The sequence below is a fragment of the Homo sapiens genome, chromosome X (genome assembly GCF_000001405.40).
Source record: "Homo sapiens chromosome X, GRCh38.p14 Primary Assembly".
NCBI lineage: Eukaryota > Metazoa > Chordata > Mammalia > Primates > Hominidae > Homo > Homo sapiens.
Window position 1 is genome coordinate 97,133,579 of NC_000023.11, and position 24,160 is coordinate 97,157,738.

Below are 24,160 nucleotides of genomic sequence, written 5' to 3' on the forward strand. Positions count from 1 at the left end.
GTCCGGCCAAGAGAACTGTTTTCTGTGCCACTCTGCAACTGAGGTCAGGATTGCTTTGGGACAGGGAGCCAAGGTCCGCTGCTTTGTTCCTATATAATGTATGGTAACATATGAACCTAGCCCCATTCTCACTCTTGGTCTTCAACCCGAAATGAGTATGATGACAAATGAAATGCAGTATCAGCATATGCCAGGGCCATGGAGCAGGAATGAAGCTTCCTTCCTTGATTGTCTTCTTTACATACACCCACCATAGTCTGATTTCATACATGTAAACTGTTTGGCATAGAGGTCAAGCAAGGCATTAGGTTATTTAGATACAAGAACTTTTATGGCAAGCACTGAAACCCGATGTCTGCAACTTACAATTTCAGAATCTGATTCAAACTTTCTGAGTAAATATCTAAGCAACAATGCAGATTTGCTTGAGCAGGAGTTGGAAGGCATGAATAATCTGCTAGGTTATCTAGTCCATCACTCTGATGATACGTAGTAGACAAGACATACTATAGCAGCATTTAAGTATTTTTTCAATACAGTTTTAGGTGAAGGATGAAGGACAGTTTAGAACACTGAAGAGCAATGTATCTGGAATCTTCACAGCATGGAGCATACTGTTTGTCTCATCTACTTTTGGATAGGTAGCTGATAGGTTATGATACCAATCAGTCTTATTTTTATGTGAATTAATCAAGAACACTTAGAGCAATTCTGTCCTTCAGATGCCACAAATTGCTAGATAATTTCTCTCTTATTTTAAATTGACACTAAGCATTGAAAACACGTTGACACTTCAACTTTTTATATGTAAAAGCAGTTGTGAGAGGACCTAGGCAAGCTGTAGACAATTGCCAAGCATCTTCTCCCCTGGAAATTTATTTGAAAGTAGCCTAGTGTCTCCCTAGTGGCATGCATCAGAATCACCTAGAGGTGATATCAGAAGTTTTCCCCTAGTATATTCAAACTCAAATTGCTGGACCAAACCCTCAGAGTTTCTGATTTAGTTGATTTGGGGTTGGGCCCCCAAATTTGCATTTCTAACAAGTTCCCAGGTGATACTGATATTGCTGGTCCAGGGACCAGGGATTGAGAACCAATAAAGTAGCAAATGCTCATGAATTCTTGATTTTTCATTCTTATTTCTTCCGTTGCCTGATCCCTTCAAGCCTAATTATGCTGAACTTATTCGGGACAATAATTAGAATAATTTTTGTCACTAACCTCACCATTTTCCAGCTGCCAGCTCTGCTACCTCCTGTATTATCTGGTTATTATCCACAGTCAATATTTGGAATAAATTATTCGTTCACATTACCTCTTTTTTCTGACTACCCATTCCTTTTAATTTTGAATCCTTTGCACTGTATTCTAACAGTGCTTGAAGGTCACCAAAGATTAACATCAAGTCAGCCCTAATTATTTTTGGCCTGTCTAAAGAATTTATTCATTCAACATTTACTGAATAAAATTGATATAGTCCTCATTTTTAAGCAGTTCACAATCTGGTGGGTGAGACTAGTTGTGTACACAAAATTATATATTGTGGAATAAGTGCTATAACTAGAGTATATAGAAACCGCTATAGGAGAACAAAGACAGAATTTAGTAGTTTTGCTTTGTTTTGTTTTGTTTTGTTTTGAGACAGAGTCTTGCTCTGTCACCCAGGCTGGAGTGCAGTGGCGCAATCTCGGCTCACTGCAACCTCCACCTCCTGGGTTCAAGCAATTCTCCTGCCCCAGCCTCCTGAGTAGCTGGGATTACAGGCATGTGCCACCATGCCCGGCTAATTTTTGTTTTGTTTTGTTTTTTTGTAGAGATGGGATATCACCATGTTGGCCAGGCTGGTCTCAAACTCCTGACCTCAGGTGATCCGCCCCAACTCCTTGACCTCCCAAAGTGCTGGGATTAGAGGCGTGAACCACCACACTTGGCCTAGAATTTATTAATTCTATTCAGGGAAGTTGAGAAAGGCTTATTACTAGTAACTACGACTCTCCTCCCTTTCCACACGCATACCATCTTCATCACCCATGACAGTTCAATCCAGTAAGTATATCTTAAATTCCAAGTGTGCATAAATTGCCGTGCTTTGTTCTGGCACCAACACCTATTGAGTGTGGGAACTAGATCAAACAACTTATGAGCTCTATCTTATCTATAAAAGTGGCATATTCGTAACTAACTCACTGAATTGATTTTAGGATTTAAAAAAAAGCACTTATGAAAGTGCCTGAGTTATAGGCACATGATAGATAGGCAACAAATGTTGGTTCTCCTACCCCTTAAAAGAGGAATAGGATATTATCACCTGATGAAGGAAGAACAGTATGCCGAGGTCAGGAGGAACATAAGTAAATGGGTAGAAATCTTCACCCATTTGTGCAGTCAGGAGGAACATAAGTAAATGGGTAGAAATCTTCACCCATTTGTGCAGTCAACAAATACAGATAGAGTGCCTATTGTATGCTACCCACTTTTCTAGATGCTGAGTATATAAAAGTGAACAAAGAAGACAAGAAAACTCTGTACTTGTGTCCAGCATAGCTGAAGTGAGTGTGGGAACTTGAGAGAGGATAATAGCTAGAGATAAGATCACAACAGAGTAGGAGCCAGAGGGATTTTTAGTTTATAGTGATGGGAAGCTAAGGTAGGCTCTCAACACTTCTTATCTGGATGATGATGGTACCCATGATAACATGCTATCTTATTCAATTCTGCAAACATGTCTGTGAACATAGGTGCTTATCTAATGCTCATTTTATAGATAACAAACCTGAGACATGGAGTATTCATGTAACTTGCCCAAGGTCATACAAGTAGTAAATGGTAGGGTCAAGGTTCGGACCTGGTTCTGTCTGAATCCAAAATCTATGCTTAATAATTATTCTGATTAGAAATTTGAATTTTATTACATGAGTTGTAAAGAACCATTTACTTTTTTTAAGGAAGGGAGTGACATGATCATATATATGTTTAAGAACCATAATTAGGCTAAATCATATAGGATAAAATGAAGCAAAGAGAATGGAATGGTTATGACCATCTTTTCATAGTGTATTTTCACATAGCTAACACTTCTGTTTAAAATTTGAGCTGCCATCCTTTTCCTAATGCCAGTTCACTCTAGAGTTATTTCCCTCATTCTGGACATGATACAACATTCTTTTAATCATCGGGACTTAAAGCTTTTGGAGTCTTTGATTTTTCCCTTTCCCTCATCTTAATATTCACTGACTAAATCCTGTTTTTCCTTACAATCTCTCTTGAATTTGCCCTTTTTTTGTCTTTTCTACACATACCCTAGTTATCATTTTAAGTATATCAGTCTTTGACATTTGCCACCAAATTATTCTCCTATGTCGTTTCTTTTCTATATCATTTTGTATTTTCTACTAAATTCTAAGCTTAAGGCCTTAAAAGTACCATGCATCATTTATCTCTTATCCCTGGTGTTCAGCATAGTCCTCAACTCACGGTGGATTAAAGAATGTACTTCTCCATTCATATTTGCTTTGCTCCTAACCTGCCTCCCCTAAAAAAATGTACAGTGCTACATTTCCTGAGTGACAAATTATAACTTTATTCTGGCATTCACTTGCACCTAACTCTAGCAAATGTGTGTTCTGGAAAAGTTTGGCCTTTGTAGTCAACCTCTGTGTGTGTGGTGGGGTCATATATAAACGCAGTTATACATATATATATATATATATATATATATATATATGTATAGAATTAAATTTAGGAGTATTGCTCTATAGCCCAGAAAAGTTGGAGTTTAGAGAAGAATCTGCATTCGGAAACATTTATTGACTATCTAGTATTTTCTAACATCCTCCTAGGCACCATGGATTCAAAAATATTACCAAAGCAAAGTCTCTAGCCATGTAAGAGCTCATATTGAGTGTGAGAGACTACTATGTTGAAATGTTTACAGTGAATGAAGATGGCCAAAAAAAGTTATTAATTGCTTCTAAGATAGAGAAGTCTTCAGAAATGACATGGGAGTTGAGTAGTCTGAAATGTGAGTAGGTATTTTCTTGGCGGATAAAAAGGAACAAAAAGGAAGGGCGTCCACACAGAGAGAGCTGTTGGTGCAAAAGCACAGTGGCATGAAACTGCATGGTATGTTTAAGCAGTTGTAATCAGGCAGACAGCAGCAGGAGGCAGGTTAGAAAGGTAGACAAGGGTCAGCTCAAGGGAGTGTCTTGTATGCAAAATCAAGAACTTTTCTTTTCCAGCAGATGACAGGAGCCTTTGCAATGGATCTTTTGAATGGACTCTAATTACCATTGAGAAATTAAACATTTGAAGAATAACATCTATGCGGTTAGGTTAAATTAACTGCAGTTGTTTATTTGGAGAACAGGACGGGAATGAGAAGGGAACTTTCACTCTGTGAGAGGTTGTTACGTACAGCATAGTGACCAGTTATTTTCAGTTCCCACTGAGGACAAAGCAAGAAGAAATAGGCTTACATCTCATCAGAAGGGAAAATTACCTACAGAAGGGGTCCTTCACAGAAAGATTGAATGTGACTGACGTAGGTCATTAAAATGTTGTCTGAGGCTCTCTGGCTGTGTGCTGGTTTCTGTGTACTCAAACAGCCCAATTTCAAAGACATGGCAAGACTGAAGGTTTTGAAGCTTGAATGAGGATATTTGGAATAAAGAAATTTCTTATGTGTCAATTAGTTATTGAGAAATTTTGCTATATACCTAACTAAATTTTGGAGATGTACTTGAACATATAAAATATATGTAGTATCTTTCATAATATAACGTTTGTGTGTACTAGGAAAAAGAAATGATCAAAATCAGCTGTAGAAACACGTGTCCTATTAAAGGTATTTTGTATTCATGTACCATTTTAGAAAGTTATTAAAGATTAGGTAGATAGAATTCAATTAAATTCAGTTATTAATCTTTATGTGTAACATTTATTGGTCAGATGATTAAATTAAAATTGCTGTATATGGTTTATTAACTGATGATTGCACCTGATCAGTTAATACAGTGACTCACTCTTGTCTTATTTTCATTATCATCCAGTGATAACTGCGCTTATTAAAATAATATAAAACTTATTTTAGCTTTTTCAAATATTTCCCATTTCTAGAACTGCTGTTTGTGTTATTGTTTGAAGATATATAAAAGAAGATTGTAGAGTGACCATTTTGTTCATCCTTTTGCATCTTATAAAAATAAGTCATATATGTCTCTCCCTACCTGTCATGGCTGGAGAGAGGAAAAACACATACAGGGATGCAAAAAGGCACTTTGCTTCTGGCTAGAGCAAACCTTGAAATGCATACAATATAACCACCACTAAGACTTAGGCAATCTAGGCAACTATTAATTGGATATTTCATGTTAATGTAAAATTTTAATATGATTTCATATTAAACAGCTATCAAATGGAAATCAATTCTATTTCTTAATAAACTAACTCAAACATTTTGGAAATGACTTGTACATAATCAGATTAGATTACTCTTGTTCTACCCCAAGAGATGTGTATATCCAACTAGTACACTTAGAAAAGCAAATTATTGGATAAATGTCTTTAACCAGTAGAACTGATGTTCTTAGTTGCCTTCTGTGCTGACATTGAACAACACGATAGGGCCTGAGAGAGATACAATGGCTAATGTGTGAATGGCATAGACTTGGTAAGAGAGACTGAAGGCATGATATAAAGTAATTAAGCTTCAATAAGTAAAAAATATTTTCCATTATATTTTAATATTATATATATATATATTTTAAATAATTGGTCTAAGGCCTCTCACACATAGAGAAAGGTTTAAAAGACCACCCATTTGTCGTGATTTCCTGCCAGTTTGAACCATTAAAATGGTCTCTGTGTGTTTTTTTTTTTAAAAAAAAACAACAAATATTGCAATACATTAAGCAGCTTGTCTCCCAGACCAACTAAGATACTTCTCAACTTGACAAGACAAACATTTGGCCATGTTTGCCCATGCTTTGAAGGGAATATTATGATTCTAAAAGAAATACATGCATAGTCTGTCTAAAAGTCTTTTATCATTTCATCAAAGATACTAATACATTTAACTGATGTTGTGCTTTATTTATCTTTTTAAAATGTAACCATTAACTCTTCTAAATTTTGTAACAAATTAAATTGTTAGTGGACCAGATACTGAATAAATATTTATTAATAAATACAATTTTTGAAAATTAAGCACTTATAAGTATGCATGCCAAAAACTGAAATGTTTTTTAATACAAAACAATCTAACACATGTGACAAAGAAAAAAAATCACCCATAAAATTGACATATGAGCACAGTGCTATTTTTCTGTTTTTATATTTCCTTTCCAGTGTTAGCCATGTGCGTTTTATTGTAAACTATAATGTACTTGTACAATTTGATGTCCTAAAAAACTAGGTGGGTTTTTGTTGTTTTGAATTGTGTTCTTTTTTAAAAAAAAAAATTGTTTTTGTCTCCATTTATGTTATGACTCCAAAGAGTCCATAAAATACATAGGAATTTCCTTTCCTTTGGGAAGATGTACCTGCAATTTTTTCTAAGCACTTAATGTTTCCAGAATTTTAGGATTTAGGTAGTTAGTGAACTTCTAAGGAAAAAGAAAATGTTAATTTCCTTTTTATTTGGAATATCCGGCATACTCTTAAAAACGATGCACTTTGTAAACACATCACACAGTAATCCCAGGTAAAGACCTCTCTTTAGGAATGTGAGCTTCCCATTGATTCCTCTACAGCTGCTATCCTTACTTAAGGAAAATTGCCCTTGAGGTTTGTGTTGCTTTTTGTTCTTTCAGCTTGTCCTTGAGTTGTGTCATTTCTACCTTAAAGTACTTAAAAGTGTTTAGTGGATCAGCATGATAATGTAAAATTTTAAATATTTTTCCTATGTGGGATAAAGTAATCCCCGAAATTTTGAAAGAAATCATTGTGACCTCTTGAACTATCAACATTATGCCTCCTGTGGCTGTTTGGTTGTTTGGAACCTTGAGACTAATATTTCTTCTAAGTTGTTTACATCACATTGAGATGCAAATGGTTGTTAAAAACCTGTAGAACAAAACAGATCCAGTGTGGGCCTGATTTATTAAATGCTATGTTTTTCTTTCTTAGTCACTCAAACAATAAGGATTAATTTACTCTGTTACCTAAATATCCTGTACAGCCTTTTCATAAACCTGTTTGTGAAAAATACTCATTTATTCTAAACAGAGTAATCCTTAAAGCTAAAAATTCCAAATCAGTATGAACATCAGTGGACAAACCCATCATCTAAGGATTATAGAATTATAACATCCAATAGAATGAGAAAACTTGATACTTTATGCTGTATTTATGCTTTGTTTCTAAGTAAATCCTTGATTTTATTTGCAGCTTAGTCTAGTATGAGAATTATATTGCAGCACTAGATTTTCTTTTTTTGTGTGTCCTATGCTTTAAAGATTTTTACCATTCTAACTGTGGCATCTCTTTTGTTGTGTGTCTGAAAAGGAAATACAATATGTAAGCAAATAAAATTTTTCATATTATCAGGATTGTATGGTGAGATTTTTTTTAATAACTCAGTATAAGCACAACCTTGAGAATTATTTTCTGATGGTCCATGCAAGTAGAGGAGGATAAAATGTGCTTGCTCCTTTACATTAATTTACATCAACAATGGCTAGAAATAAATATAATCTCACAAATGAATCTAACTTTTAAGAACATATTTTTGTAATAAAGCAAAGAACAGAATGATGATAAAATAAGCACACAGTAACTTGGGCTATTATCAATACTTAAATGGATGTTCTTCTCTCATGAAAAGAATAGTTCATTTTGCCACAATAATTTAGACATTTTTGAAAATACAGATTAAGGTTTAATTTGGCACTTTTACTGGTCATCTTACTTGCTTTTAAAATATGGAGCTCCTTTTAAAATCTAGAGCACCGCTACTAGACCACATTAAGAACCTACCCCAAAGTTTTAAAAACATTTTAAATGGGTTATAATAAATTCATTCATTTCACTTGTTTAAAAAAGTATTTACTAAAAAATTACTAAAAAATGTGTTGTTGTTTTCTCCCAGATCAGAGATACTAAATCAGCGGATCAAAAAACAACCCTTTTGCATTTTATTGCCGACATTTGTGAGGAAAAATATCGAGATATCCTAAAATTTCCTGAAGAACTGGAACACGTAGAAAGTGCAAGCAAAGGTAATTGATTTATAACTACTTTGAGATTATCTCTTGCCTATATGGTTTAAATGGAACAATTAAAGAATCTGTAAACATTATTCATAAAAGTATTTTTTGTTTGTTTACTGATAAAAGAAAAGCAGGAAAATAGTTTCCATTAGCTTATATTTGACAGCATACTACATTTTAATAACCTATTTTGTCTTACATCATTTTTTTTACCACTGCTACGTTATTAAAGCTTTCATTTCTCTGATCAGATAATATGTTTGTACTTTCATTTGATAAACATTTAAGTGGATATTGTTTGCAAAGGAACCATACTATAGGGCTCTTGGTTATATGACAATGATTGTGAGAGTTTTTGATTGAGTGTGGTTAAAATATAGTAAATGAGAAAAATGTGTGTATATATACATACACACAAATGTGTTATAAAATAAGGATGCATGTGAGAAATGCTGCAGGAAAAGATAATGTCCTATAGTTGAGATGAGGAGGAAAGTACTCTTGAATGGGTGGGTAAGAGAAGGCTTCATGGAAGAGGTCAAAGGTGAAATATGAGGTTAGGGTTTTACAGACATGGAAAAGAGGTTTGCTTTCCAGAGAGAAAACAACATGAGCAAGGCAAAGTGGCAGAATGTTTTAGGACAAGTGAAGGGAATGGTTGACTCTGAGGCTGGAGCAGTAAGGTAGGTATCTCTGAGACTTCAGTGTCAGGCTAAGGAGTCTAGTCTTGATGTGGTAAGCAGTACAGCATCATTGAAGGGATAGAATAGACAAGCCATGGCTCCTGTGAGGAACAGGATGTTTGAAACAAAAATGTCTCTGAGATTTTAATTCAGGGTAATTAGCTTTGTCAGTAAGTATTATCTACTTTTGCAAGAGGTTGAAAAGTGAAAGAAAAGAAGATTAAGGAAACATTTGCTGAAGGTGAGATTATGTGCGAGAAGAAGTGCATTTTCCCTCTTAGATAAGAGAAGTACACCATAAATCTTATACTTGAAATTACGCTGAAGTAATTTCATTCTGTAACTCTGAGGACTTTTGGTAAGGACTTCATATATGTTTCTCAAGTTTATTACAAACCATATAAACCTGTTAGTTTCCTTTTAAGTTAAAAATAGTGAATCTATAAAACCCAGAATATTCTTTGAATAACATTGTGCAGTGGTCATCTCAGCCAGTTGGGTATTGTCAATCAAATCCTCAACATATTTCTTTAATTTTACCGAGTTTGTATCGTTTTGTGGTCCAAGGAGCAAACTAACACAAAAAGACAAACTATGATTGTATTGTATTATTTATTTTCTTTCGTTGTTTTCAAAAAATTGTGAAATATGATGGAAAATTACACAAATTACAACTATAATGGCAACTTTCTGGTAATAGCTCTTCTAAAGAATTTATCTTTGGATTTAAAAATACAGCTTTCTGACTAGAAGCATATTTACTAACATGTGGCTAATGTGAAATAATAACATTTTAAACATTTGTGTTGTAATTTGAAATGTATATATATATATAGCACAAAAAAGACCAGTTATTAAATTAGCTCATTTTGTTGCTATTAATACTTTTTGATTGCCTTCTACCAGAATTTTTTTCTAAGTTTTCTTTGTTCAACATGTATAATCAATTTTTACAACATTTTGGAAAGAAGTATGTCAATAATATATCTATATATACACACACAGTGCCACACATGAAAATATATATATTTATATGTAATATATTTACTATACATAAATAAATATGTACCACACACTTATATCAATCAACAGGTATTTATATAAACCTCAATCAACAGTTATATATATGTTATATATAACCATAGGTATTTACATGTGATCCAGCAGTTCCACTACTAGGTATTTATCCAAAGAAAAAGAAATCAGCATATCAAAGGGATACCTGTACCCCATGTTTATTGCAACACTGTTCACAATAGGTAAGATATGAAATCAGCCTAGATGTCTATCAATGGATTAATGGATAAAGAAAATGTGGTGTATATACACAATGGAATACTATTCATCTGTAAAAAAGAAATAAATCCTCTCATTTGAAGTAACATGGATGGAACTGGAGGTAATTAAGTGAAATAAGCCAGGCACAGATAGACAGATATTGCATGTTTTTACTCATATGCAGGAGCTAAGAAGGTTGGTCTCATAGAGATAGAGCGTAGATTGATGCTTACCACAGGCTGGGAAAGGTGAAGGGTAGGGGGATGAAGAGTGGTTGGTTAATGTGTACGAACATACAGTTAGGTGGAAGAAATAAGTTCTGGCCTGGTGCAATGGCTCACACCTGTAATTTCAGCTAGTTGGGAGGCTGAGGTGGGAGGAACACTTGAGGCCAGGAGTTTGAGACCAGCCTGGGCAGCATAGTGAGACCACCCCCATCAGAAAATTTTAAAAATTAGCCAGTTTCATGCTACTTGCAGGGGCTGAGGCAAGAGCATTCCTCGAGCCCAGGAGGCTACAGTGAGCTATGATCACACCATTGCACTCTAGCCTGGGCGACAGAGCAAGACCCTGTCTCTTAAAAAAAATTAAAGAAAGAAATAATACGTCCTAATGTTTGATAGCAGAATAGATTGACTGTGGGTAGGAATGATATATTGCATATTTCAAAATAGCTAGAAGAGAAGATTTGAAATATTCCCAACACAAAGAAATGATAAATGTTCAAGGTGGTAGATACGCTAAACACCCCAATTTAGTCATTACACATTCTATGCATGTAGCAATATATCATATGTACCCCATAAGTATACAAATATTATGTATCAATAAAAAACTTAAGAATATATAGATATTTATATATGTGTATATAGCGTGTATATATATATATATATTTTATATAGTTATGTAGTGAGACATTCAATAATCTTGTACACTTTAGCCACTACTGCTACTGACAAAAGTAGATTGTAGAGCCCAGCCTTTTGGGTTAGACACTATAAATTTCTTTCTTTCTTTCTTTCTTTCTTTCTTTTTTGAGACGAAGTCTTGCTCTTTCGCCCAGGCTGGAGTGCAGTGGCACAATCTTAGCTCACTGCAACATCTGCCTCCCGCGCTCAAGCAATTCTCCTACCTCAGCCTCCCAAGTAGCTGGGATTACAGGCGCACGCCACCATGCCCAGCTAATTTTTGTACTTTTTTAGTACAGATGGGGTTTCACCATGTTGGCCAGGCTGTTCTCAAACTCCTGACCTTGTGATCCACCCGCCTTGGCCTCCCAAAGTGCTGGGATTACAGGCGTGAGCCACCGCACCAGGCCTGACACTATAACTTTCTAATCCTAGCTCTACTACCTATTAGTTCTATAATTTGAGCTAATAATTTAAACTTCTAAGATTTTGTTTACTCATCTGTAAAATGAGAATAATAACAGTGAGATTAAATTAGTTAACATAGGCATTGCATCCAGTAAAATGGTATAGTTTATAGTATATGCTTGACACATAGTAAGTATGCGGCTGTTGCTGAACTACTACCAGTAGTAGTAGTAGTAGTAGTAGTAGTAGTAGTAGTAGTAGTGGTAGTAGTAGTAGTATTGATATACCACTAAGGATATTATAGTTCTTTCTTTTGTCTTATTAGAAGGGAACAATCATAAAATATCTTATAGTTCCTCCAGTCTCAGTAAGTATGTATTATATTCAATTCTATTTGTTTGTTTCCTATTCCTGGGCTTTTGGTAAATCCTTTTATATATTTTTTTCTTTATTTTATTTTTCCTTTTTAATTTTTTGTATATCACCAACTTCCTTTTTCCAATCCATTTCAAGAGCGAAATCTCTCTGCTCTATTTTGATCATTCCTGATTTTGTGCATTCTTCCTGCCAGTGTATTCAAAAGACTGTTGCCAAAAATCCTCTTCTTATATCACTGTTTGGGCCATATCAATCCCTACTCTCAAATTATTTTGACTAGTTATTTTTCTTTCCCTATGAAATTCAGACTGAGAATTCTCAACTCAAAAAGATCTTACGCACATTCTGCCTGCTTGCATCCCTCTTTCATTTCCTCCTAGTTCTCATTTCAGTATACCCAGACATATAGTCTCCTGAGCCATTTTTATTCCTTTATAATAATCCTGTCTCTGTGTACGATTTCATGCTGCATCCTCTGGCTGGAAATTTCACCTGCCCTGTACTCTAAGACAACTGACTGTCATTTGCCAAATCTCTGTTCAGAATCTATTTCCTTTTTCTTCTTCCTTTTTTTTTTTTTTTTTTTTTTTTTTACTAAAGCCTTAGGAGAAAATACTTTTTGTATTAGTCTGCAGGAAGAAACAAAGCATTGTAAAAGGTCAAGCCAATTACCTCTTATTTATATTTAAATACTTTTCCTTGGTATTTGAGTCTAACTTGTCTTGTTTACTTAATGTACATTTCAGCCCTGTTTGAATCACACTTTATCACATTCAGGACTGTGTATAACATAGCAAAAAACAAAAATAGGTCAACACTATATAATTCATTTTATTTGATGATGGACTATCTCTTTGTAAAATGATCCCGTTCTCTTCAAAAACAAAAACAAAAGATTGTCTTTTTTTTTTTAAACTGGAGTGATATAGATAAGAAAAAACTAATTCAGTTAATGAATTATATAGCTAATATTGAAAGAACAACTTGATTACTACCAATATCTTTTTTCATATTTTTGTGTTATTAGAACGCACATACCTACTTTGATAGAGTAAGATCTTTTCTGTGTGGTATAGCAAATACCAAATTTATTTTAGTTCAGTACTAAAATTCCAGGCATCAACATTACTGGCAAAGGGGAAAAAAATCACCTTGAAGTGAAAGGCAAACAAAAAGAAAGAAGTATGTGGGTTCCATGGAAAAAATCATCATAATTACATTTATTCCTTGTAAAGCTAAGCTGCTAAAATTGTGTGCTTCTTGGAAAATGCAAAACTATGGTATAAACTTGGCATATTTTTCTAGACCTCTGTAGCTCAAAGATAGTGGGGAAAAACACATCATTTTTACATTAAAACAGATATGTATTATGGAGTAGAATTCAAAATCCACATTAATTTTAAAAATAAAACAGATGACTTCAAAGAAATTTCCCACTTGTAGCAGATCCCTACAGGATTATTTTCAGTCTTCTCTTCCATTAGGGGTACTTTGGTGGGAAAAGTTTATGAAGCATTGCCTGAAGAATTAGAGAGCAGTTTTGTTTTGGGTTAAGTTTACGTATTTATTTATTTAGTTTGTTATTCAGTTAGTTAGTGACTATTGCAGGGAAAAGGGAGGAAAGTAGGCAAGGTGAGGGAAGAGAGAGTATATCACTTCCTTTTAAACATTGTCATAGGCCGTATGAAGTTCAGAAGCAAATTGTATAATGTAACTTTATTACCAGTAAAGTTAATAAAATAACATTGCTCTTGTCATTTTATTCTTGGTTAAATTATAAATCTGTGGGTCATTTCATTCAAGATTGGCATACCAATTAGTCTTTAGAGAAAGAAAATGGTTGTTACAGAGACTTTGATGCCTTTAAAACATTGAATTTTTTTTTTCTTTTGGTGAACCACAATTATTTTTTTCCCCAATGATTAATTTTAAAGTTTATATATATGTATGTATATGTACATATGTAAACTTATATCTAATAGATATATATTGTATAAAACATTGCTGGTTTACTAGACATATTTGATGTCTTTTTTTCCCCCTGTGGCTATCACTTTAATTTTCAGCTTTAAGGATTTTTTACTGTTTGATTTAAAACCACTCCTGTTTTATAGGTTGACTCCAGGTTTTAAACCAAATGGTTAGTAAAGTTTAATTAAAGCTATTTTATTCAAAAGGGGGAAATTATATTAATGTATTTGAAGGTATTATTTATCCTGAGGTTTGCATAAATCCAAAATGGGTTTCACTTCAGTTAAATTGGTGCCATCCTACAAGATAAAAGCTAGTTAAGTTTCTTCTGAACAGTGCTAACTTTTTTATGAATTAAATAAATTATTATAATTTTAACAATCAACTATACCTTTTGATATCTGCCATGTTTCCATGTCATGTTAGTTACCGATTAGCTGTTTATCCACTCTGACTTTTTCACGGGATTAATAACAATGGAAGTTCTGATTAAAGGCAATGTTATAGGGGAAAATCTATGGATTCATTCCATAGTAGTATTTCTTTTTTATATAAAAGAAAAAAGTAAAATAATAGCAAAGTTAAAAAGTTTGGGGGGAAGAAGAAAGATGAAACAATTCCAGAAACTCCACAGCTGGTTGAAGCTTTAGAGATTATCTAGTCCCTGCTAAAAGGGACCCAAGATGACATTTCATCCAAACTTATTTTATAGTTGAAGAAACTGAGATGCAGAATGATAAAGGACTTGCCCACGATCACATAGCTGGGCAGTAGAGTCCATGTACATTTGGAGACCTTGTTTAGAGTTATTACATATATTTCATCCACATTTTTACCTCCTTTGTGGTCGAAAATATGCAACAAAGACTCATGCTCACATACTGGAAAACATATAGAAAGTAGATGCTGACCAAATAAAAAACTTACTGGAAGTATAAATGCTACTTTCTCTGTAGTTGTCCATAATCTTTCTAGCTCCATTTTGACAGAATTAACCATTCCTTTCTCTGTGTCACAGCAGCCCTTTAGCGTTATTGGTAATAGAGCACATACCACATTTGCACTTTTTATTTAATTATTTGCTTCTATCTGTACCTCCTCTTGAGTTTCTTAGTAACAAAGACTGTATTCTTTTTGTCCTTACAATCTCGGTGCTATCATAGCACCTCAGTCGGAGGGGCTCAATCTATGGCCATACCAACCTGAATGCACCTGATATTGGAAGCTAAACAGGGTCCTGCCTGGTCAGTTCTTGGAAGGGAGGTAGAAGTGCTTAATAAATGCTTATTAAATTAATTGCATATCATTTTAGTACAGCAGTCATATTTCAAAATAAGACATTGTGGGAAGTTGACAAATAGAGAGTAACAGTCTGAAAATTACTGTTCACTGTAAATTTGAGAGGAGAAACAAGGTAAATTAGAATAAGGAGGACACCGGTATTTAACAATATTTCCCAGTCCACACTTTGCTTCTTCAAGGGAAATGGTGAAATTGGAAACAATTTGTTAATAATGGAGAGGACCTAAACTTATGGACGCCACCAAACCACAAAGGTTTATGGTGAACAGTAAGGACCAAGTCATAGGACCTAATGGGAGTGACTGTCTCAATGTGAAATGTAACTAACTGCTGAAACATCTATGTTTAATACCTGAAAAAAAAAATTGCATATTGTCTGCTATTAGTTTCATTGAAAAATCTTTGAGTTTTTTAGTAATCTATTAAAGAAAAATCTGTGGAACAAAATCCTGTTTTTAGAGTGTTTAACTTTTACTTATAGTGACTTATAGGACCTAAGATGCAAGAAAGTATTAAACTAAGGTTTCCTAACAGATTTAAACTTTGAGTTATAATCTAACTTTTTAGAAGCACAGAATGATAATATACCAATGTGACAAAATGTTAGTAGAATTGACCTTACTTAAATCTTAGCAGCCTGAGTAAAACTGAGTATACATATTACTACATTATTTTAATAAAAATGTTAACTTGTTTGTTCAGCTTGGTTTGGATTTTTTTCATATATAGGATTTCAGGCCGGGCGCGGTGGCTCACGCCTGTAATCCCAGCACTTTGGGAGGCCGAGATGGGCGGATCACGAGGTCAGGAGATCGAGACCATCCTGGCTAACACGGTGAAACCCCATCTCTACTAAAAATACAAAAAAGTAGCCAGGCGTGGTCGCGGGCACCTGTAGTCCCAGCTACTCAGGAGGCTGAGGCAGGAGAATGGCGTGAACCCAGGAGGTAGAGGCTGCAGTGAGCCGAGATCGCGCCACCGCACTCCAGCCTGGGCCACAAAGCAAGACTCCATCTCAAAAAAAAAAAAAAAAAAAAGGACTTCAAGTAACTTAAACAATTTTTGCTGAACGAATTGTACTCTATCAATAGCAACACCATAAATATGTTATAAAATTTAGGGGAACGTTGTTAAATGTTAGGGAATCAAATACATATTTATCTACATAAATTTTCCAGTCTGTAAGACTTCTTTCTTCCTCACTCTCACCAAGTCAGTCCTAATTTTTCTAAACAAATGACTGTCTTTAAAATAAGAGAAAAAATAAGAGGTCTAAAACAGTCACAGAATTTTTTTTTATTATTATTTTTATTTTTGGTAAGAACACTTAACATGAGATCTACCCTCTTAAATTTTTAAGTGTGTAATACATTATTATTGACTATAATTACAGTGTTGTACAGCAGATCTCTAGAGCTTATTCATCAGTTAAGGAAGATAAGCTCAGGAAAATGTATTTTTAATGTGAAATGTCAAAAGGACTTAGGAAAGAAAGTCATGTTTTCTTCTTGCTGTTCAGTAATCTAGTCATTACCAAACAATGTTATCAATGCATAACATATAAACATTTCATAATTCATTTTCATTTCTAGAGGAAACTAGTGAGTAAAAACAATATCTTCAGGTAGCAGTGAAAGGAAGCAGAGATCATGGCCGTTTGGATTTGAGTGAATTCTTTCAACACAAATCAATGATTTTATAGACATATATAGGTTTTTGTCAGGGTTCCTTAGCTTTTGCATCTCAAAATCTATTTTTGCTAGGGAACTGTATAATAGCTCATCTGTCTTACCCTCCTTGTCTCAGAGCCCAGGCTTCTGTGCCTTTTCCAATCTGAAAAGCCTCCTCCTTGTCTCTGTCCTTTTGAGCCTCATGTATCTTTTTAAAGGCCCACTTTAAATTCCACCACTCTATAAAAAGCTTCTCCAACTATTCTACCTTTCAATGGCTTCTCAGTTTCCTCCATAATACTTTGAACCTTTTAGCTGATCCTGTACTCTCTTGCACTACAGTGTAAAGGTTTCTGTATTTATGGCTGCATACTGGCATGATGCTTTCTCAGTTATGTATGATATCATTAGTCTGCTTTTTCAGGACAAAATCTGTGTCACAGTGTTACAGACAAAATCTATAACACAGTGTCGGCATAATAAATTCAGCTCAGTGAATGCTTATTAAACATTAACGTAATCCTTGTTGCTTTCTTTATTCAACCCTACAGTGAAATTTTCTGGGTGCTTGGAGTAACTAAAATATATTTGCAGATATTTAATTTCAACTTCTTACACATTAAACAAGTAGAAAACCATGTCTTCAAAAACATATTCTTTAAAAGTGATTGCTTAGGGCAAAAGTAGTCTATGATTTTAGAATTCATTATAATAGTTATTCTTAGGGTGGGTTCATGATTGGAATGGAATATGTAGGGGCTTCTGGGGTGTTGGTCATGTTCTGTTTCTTAATCTTGATGCTAGTTACATGGGTGTGTTTAGTTTCTGCAGATTGATTCAGGTGGCCACTTATATGCACTTTTCTTAATGTATGTTTTACTTCAACCAAGCGGTTTTTAAAAGCCAGTCATTCAGATTTTTAATATGTGTAATATGAATAGTGAGGATGGTACTACATTTTAATTCAGAAGGTCCTCTTGCTTTTACCCATGCTTAGTTATAGTGATCACATGCATTGTATAAGTGTAAATAGGCAGCTGCTGTCAGAGTTAATCTGATGTTATTCTAAATAATTATTGTTAGGAAGTTGTATGTCTCCTAAAGATTTTATCCAAACACCTTTTTTTTTTAGTCTAAGAGTGGATAGGTGTACTTTATTTTAAAAAAAGAAAGAAAAAGAGCCACCAACCACATTATGTACCACGTGAAGATCATGGTAATCTATATCATACTTGTCAATATTATGCTGTCTTATATGTCATTGAATCCTTGGCACTTACTGACCTAAAATATTCACCAATAACCTGTCGCTGCTGTCATTTTTATTATTTTATCTTTGCTTCAATGTCAGTAAAAAGAATATATAGGAATATTAGTCAGCTTTAGCTCATTGTGGATTTAAGCTTGTTAGTTAAAAAGTGAATATTCGTATATCAAATGTTCTAATTTGATTGACTCCTGAAGTAAAACACAGGGACATACTTGATACAAGAGGTTGAAGTACTGATACTGAGTAGTATTGTCAAGGGGGGAGATGTGAGAGTAAGGGAAGAAGGAAGAAAGACAAATGAAGAAAGAACTAGCTTTCTGCTGCCACAGCAGAATCATAAGAAAAGCTGGATCATGCCCTGAATGGAGACTCCCTTGTACTACTATGGAAATAGGTGGAATCCAGGAATCAACTTGGTTACCATTATTGTAGTTTTCATCACCACCAGTCCCTCTGATATATTCATCAATAAGGATGAGCCTGCTTAAGAGATGTAGGGCTTAGGGATTGGGGAGGTTACCAAACAGTATCAGAGCTACCTGAGCAACACCCCACATTTTCCACTTTTTACACGTTTTGAGTGTAGCTTGAACACAACCAAGTCATGGGCAGTACCATTGCTGTTGTGATTTCTTGAAATTAACTGGCATCTTTTGCTGGAATTTGGATTCTACAAGTTGATGAGACAAATTTAGCAAATATAACATTTCCTTGTGCCAAAGTTATATGACTCAAACTCCTTAACAGTATTTTCATGTAAAACGATCAGAGGGGAGGTGGCAGTTGTAGCCAGTTTTGCATTGCCATAATAAAATACCACAGATTAGGTAATTTCTAAAGAAAAAAATTTATTTCTTACAGTTCTGGAGGCTGGGAAGTCCAATATCAAGGTGCTAGTACCTAGCAAGTGCCTTCTTGCTCTGTCATCCCATGGCGGAAGGGTGGAGGGGTAGAAGGGTCAATGAGCATGGATGAGAGAGAAACAAGAGAGAGTACAACTCGCTTTTATAACAAATCTAATCCTGTGATAACAAATCCACTCCTGTGATAACCATATTAATCCATTTTTGAGGGCAGAGCCCTCATGACATAATCACCTCTTAAAGGCCCTATTTCTCAACACCTCCATGGTAGGGATTAATTTTCCAACTCATGAACTTTGGGGGACACATTCAAACAACAGCACTGGCATTTTAAGTTTAAGATTCATTGAAGTAGTGAGGAGAAAACCCTGACTTCTACTGGAAACTAGTAGCTCTGTGGCAAAAGATTCTGGTATAGTCATAATCTGAAAGATGTATTCACTGGAAATAATATGTCCAGGGATGAGAATCAGGACACACACATTTGAGTTCCAGCTTTGTTACCAGCTACTTTTTTGGACATAGTTTGGCCATATAACCTCTCAGTGCCTATTTCCTCATTTGTACAAAAATTTTCTTAATTTGAAAAATAGCAATGGTAATATCTAGGCTACTTATCCCTCAAGGTGGTTATGCAAGTAAAATTAGATATGCAATATGAAAATGCCATATGAAAAAGGTGTTACATATAAAAAATTATTATTCAAGCTAGTATGAGGATATTAATTCCAGTTGATTTTGATTAGATTTTGTTTATTCAGTCCAGTTTAAAAAATGAAGGTCAGACCAGGCGCTGTGGCTCACACCTGTAATCCCAGCACTTTGGGAGGCCGAGGCGGGTGGATTCCCTGAGGTCAGGAGTTCAAGACGAGCCTGGCCAACATGGTGAAACCTCGTCTCTACTAAAAATACAAAAAAATTAGCCGGGCGAGGTGGCAGGCGCCTGTAATCCCAGCTACTTGGGAGGTTGAGGCAGGAGAATCACTTGAACCCGGGAGGTGGAGGTTGCAATGAGCCGAGATTACACCACTGCACTCCAGCCTGGGCAACAAGAACGAAACTCTGTCTCAAAAAAACAAAACAAACAAACAAAAAAATGAAGGTTAGAATTCACAAGTTAAAATATAAAGCTTTCTGAAATGATGTATGATTTTATTAATTTTAGTTTTTCTACATATTCTTTTACTCTTTTCCATTTTGGACACTTTTAAAAATAAGACTAAAAACATAATCATGAAGGCTCATGTTATTTTAAATGACATCTCTAAGCTTTCATGGAAGAATCATTGTCCCCCATTTAAAGGTTGATCATAAAATTTCCAATATCCTATTTTGTTAGGATATCTTTTTCCTTAGCATGTATAAACATGGAAGAAAAGATAAAGCATATAGTATTAACTGAATAGCCTAAGTAATTGATAGTAAAAGTTTAGGGGCAAATAAAAAAGGTATGAATATAAAAGATTATTATAATAACTAATAAAGATGATAAATAAGTAGAAAGCCAGGTCTTCAAAAAAATTTTCTTTTATGTGCATTTTAAAGGAGTAGATTCTGCTTGAATTTGTAGCAGAAAACCTGAAGCTAATGTTTATGCTCGGCACTGTTTCTTAATTATGCATTTGCTGATACCTAATAGTGATTATAGTAACCACTATCATTTATAAAGGGCTAAGTGCCAGGAATTATATTAAGCATGGTTTTATAGAAAAGGAGACTGAGGCTCAGAAACGTGAAGTAAAGTGCACAAGATCACACAATGAATAAGAGCGAATATTTTTTCTACTTCCGTGTCTCTTGTTCTTTCCACTATAACATGGACAATAATATCAAAAACATAATTCAAAAGGATATAAAATATGAAAATTTTAGTTATAAATTTAATATAAACTGATAAAGCAGTATAAACCTTGGTAATGTCCATATTTTAATGGGAAGGTCAATTATTATAATTAGAAATATCTAATCACATCATATAAATACTGCTTTGTTCTAAAACTTCAGTAAACTCTTAAATATATAAAAGTGCTATCTTTAGAATTTAGGGTTTTACTCAATTGATTTTTCCTTCTACGTGTCCACAGAGAATAGTAACATACATTATGATGAGGAGAAAGAATAATCATCTCTGTTGCACACCCTTTTTGAGGGGTGTGGTCCTCAACTAACCACATCTTTATTTAACGCTATTCGTATGAGGAACTGCGGCTGCTAAATTGTTCATTTGTATCCCTTGGTTTAAATGTGTCAGTTTTCTTCAGTTATCTATTCTCTGGAAGTAAGTGTATGCTTTAAATTAATCTGTGCACTTATTCATGTATCTTTTACCATTAGAAAACACACTGAATAGATATTCTTCGGAGGAAAATGAATTGTTGATATCTCAGCTTACTCAGAAATTCAGTAGAAATGATTCTTAACTCTTAAATGGGAAAATGGCACATGGATAGAACATTTTCGTAGGAAAAACATTCCAAACGTATTTAGCCTCACCAGTAATGGAAGAAGTGCACATGAAACAATAAAATATAAGTTTCAGCTATCAATTTGGTAAAGGTTAAAAAAATCAAACTATATCGTATTCTCAGCAGTAGTACAGGTGGTATAGGTGAGATGCTTATGTATTAATTATTTGCTTCTCTATATAAATTATTGATTATCACAAAATCCCATACATAACTATTTGGAGATTAACATGTGAAATAGGCCGGGCTTGGTGGCTCACGCCTGTAATCCAGCACTTTGGGAGGGTGAGGCGGGTGGATCACGAGGTCAGGAGTTCAAGACCAGCCTGACCAACATGGTAAAACCCCGTCTCTACGAAAAATACAAAAATTAGCCGGGTGTGGTGGCACCCACCTGTAATCCCAGCTACTCAGGAGGCTGAGGCAGGAGAATCACTTGAACCCGGGAGGCAGAGGTTGCAGTGAGCCGAGATTGCACCACTGCACTCCAGTCTGGGTGACAGAGAAAGACTCTGTCTCAAAAAAGAAAAAAAAAAAAAATGTGGAATATTATACAGTGTTCCAGGATTTAGAGGACCTGGAAGTATGCAAAGATTTATCACCTTGAAATTTATGTGTTTTTGAATGTATGTTATTATTTTTATTATTTACCTTGTGAATCTTTGCTACAATAACTTGTAGTCAGAAGTCTGAGAATATTGGCATCCTTATGAAAAATGCACTGAGGAAAACAGACACCATTTTTGCAGCTTTGAGACTCTGCTATGTGCGTCTCACCATACTTCTTGGTAATAAAAGTCTCTTTAAAACACACTCAAAATACCTACTTGTAACTAGCAGCTTTTTTTTAAAGAAGGAAGACTGATGTATATGGCTGTATTTTTATTATATTTGCATGCACTGAAATATAATTATTCTGAAGGGAATTAAAACAGGCAAGTGATTTCAGGAAGTGGATAGAGTTTAAACATGGGACAGATCAAATGTATAGGAAACAAGTGGTTTGTGGTAATGATTGGTGTTACATCTTTCAAGGCCTGATACCATTGACATGTGGCGGTGAGCAGCATATCTCTGACACTTTTGCACAGTTAGCAATGATGTTAGACAGCAGTTCTTCCTGAAATAAGTGAGCCAAATGCCAGTGCAGCTAATTGGTTTACTTGGGAAATGCTATTCACCAATATAAAGCCTAGAAAAGTGAAATTTCAGTATGCACCTTATAAACTCCATCGGCATGTAGATAACCAACTAATTTTGAGTTACAGTTGGTCCAGTACCAGAAGTATTGTATGGTTTATCTGAAGGGACTATACAGAATTCATCACTGATATTTAAATTTTTCTCTATGATTGTTTTATGAAAGCAGCAAGGCAGGTTATAGAATTCTCCGTATTGACAGATCTTTAATAAATAAACTTTAATAAATGAATCAATAATTGGCATAGAATTAACCTCCAGAAAGACACATATTGCTTAGCCTTAAAAGACATTTTTGAAAAAATGATTTACGGATACAATTTTAACTCTTTCATTGTACTGTCAAACCTTATTTTATAATTAAAATCCTCCATGATCTGGAATCTCCCTTTTATTAACAGTGGCTAAGGAGCCATAGCAGTGAGACTAGAAAGGAGAGAAAAGATTCTGGAAAATGTGGGACTTAAATATGTGTGCATTGTGACATAAGTAGTGGATGAGGGAACCACCGATGGGGAGAAAAATTGCAAAAACAAGAGTAATATTTGTATGCAGATATCCACCTATACAATATATGTGATAATTTGAAATTACCTATATCTTTTTTTTTAACCACACATGATTCCCTGAGTAGATTTCATTTCTAGTATCAGCAGTGTCATACTATGAACGCTCAAAAGTAAAAGTTTTAGAATAAGCTGTAATTTCAGATCCAATAATCTCAGTTAAATTTGGAAGAAAGTGTCAGAGGTATTTGAACCAGAGCAACTCCATTTTGAATGAGGGCTAGGAAAATGAGGCTGAGACTTGCTGGGCTGCATGGTTAAGGGAACAAATTAATAATGTTTACTGGCCGGGCGCGGTGGCTCACGCCTGTAATCCCAGCACTTTGGGAGACCGAGGTGGGCAGATCACTTGAGGTTGAGACTTCAAGACCAGCCTGTCCAACATGGAGAAACCCCATCTCTACTAAAAATACAAAATTAGCTGGGCATGGTGACGCATGCCTGTAATCCCAGCTACTCGGGAGGTTGAGGCAGGAGAACTGCTTGAACCTAGAAGGCAGAGGTTGCGGTGAGCCAAGATCGTGCCATTGCACTCCAGCCTGGGCAACAAGAGCGAAACTCCATCTCAAAATAATAATAATAATAATATAATAATAATAATAATAATGATTATAATAATATTTACTAAACAGACCCAGACTTGGGAGTGTCCAGATGTCCTGATATCTGGAGAACAAAGGCATTCCTAATTTTGCTTTAAAGATAATAATATCAATTCTTGCAAAATATAGTAATTAAGAAAGTTAATCCTGTATCACAAACCCTTGTAGCAAAGCACATCTCCCCATATATATAAGCGTTGTACCTACGGTAGATGCATTCCTCCTCTTTTGGGAATGTCCTACTCTGTCTATGGAGTAGCTGTTCTTTCACCACTTTACTTTCTTGATAAACTTGCTTTAACTTTGGACTGCGGACTCACCTTGAATTCTTTCTTGCGCAAGATCCAAGAACCCTCTTTTGGGGTCTGCATCGGGACCCCTTTCCTGGA

General features: G+C 34.8%; 1 protein-coding gene across 2 annotated transcripts in view; it reads left to right on the plus strand.

Moving 5' to 3' along the window:
- The window catches only part of DIAPH2 (diaphanous related formin 2), a 920,156-nt gene that overhangs the window by 448,737 nt on the left and 447,259 nt on the right, over positions 1–24,160 (plus strand). For both annotated transcript variants that reach the window (NM_006729.5, NM_007309.4), the window contains exon 22: positions 8,087–8,216. In NM_006729.5, the coding sequence (NP_006720.1) occupies positions 8,087–8,216 (130 nt within the window). The remainder of the gene's footprint in view (positions 1–8,086; positions 8,217–24,160) is intronic.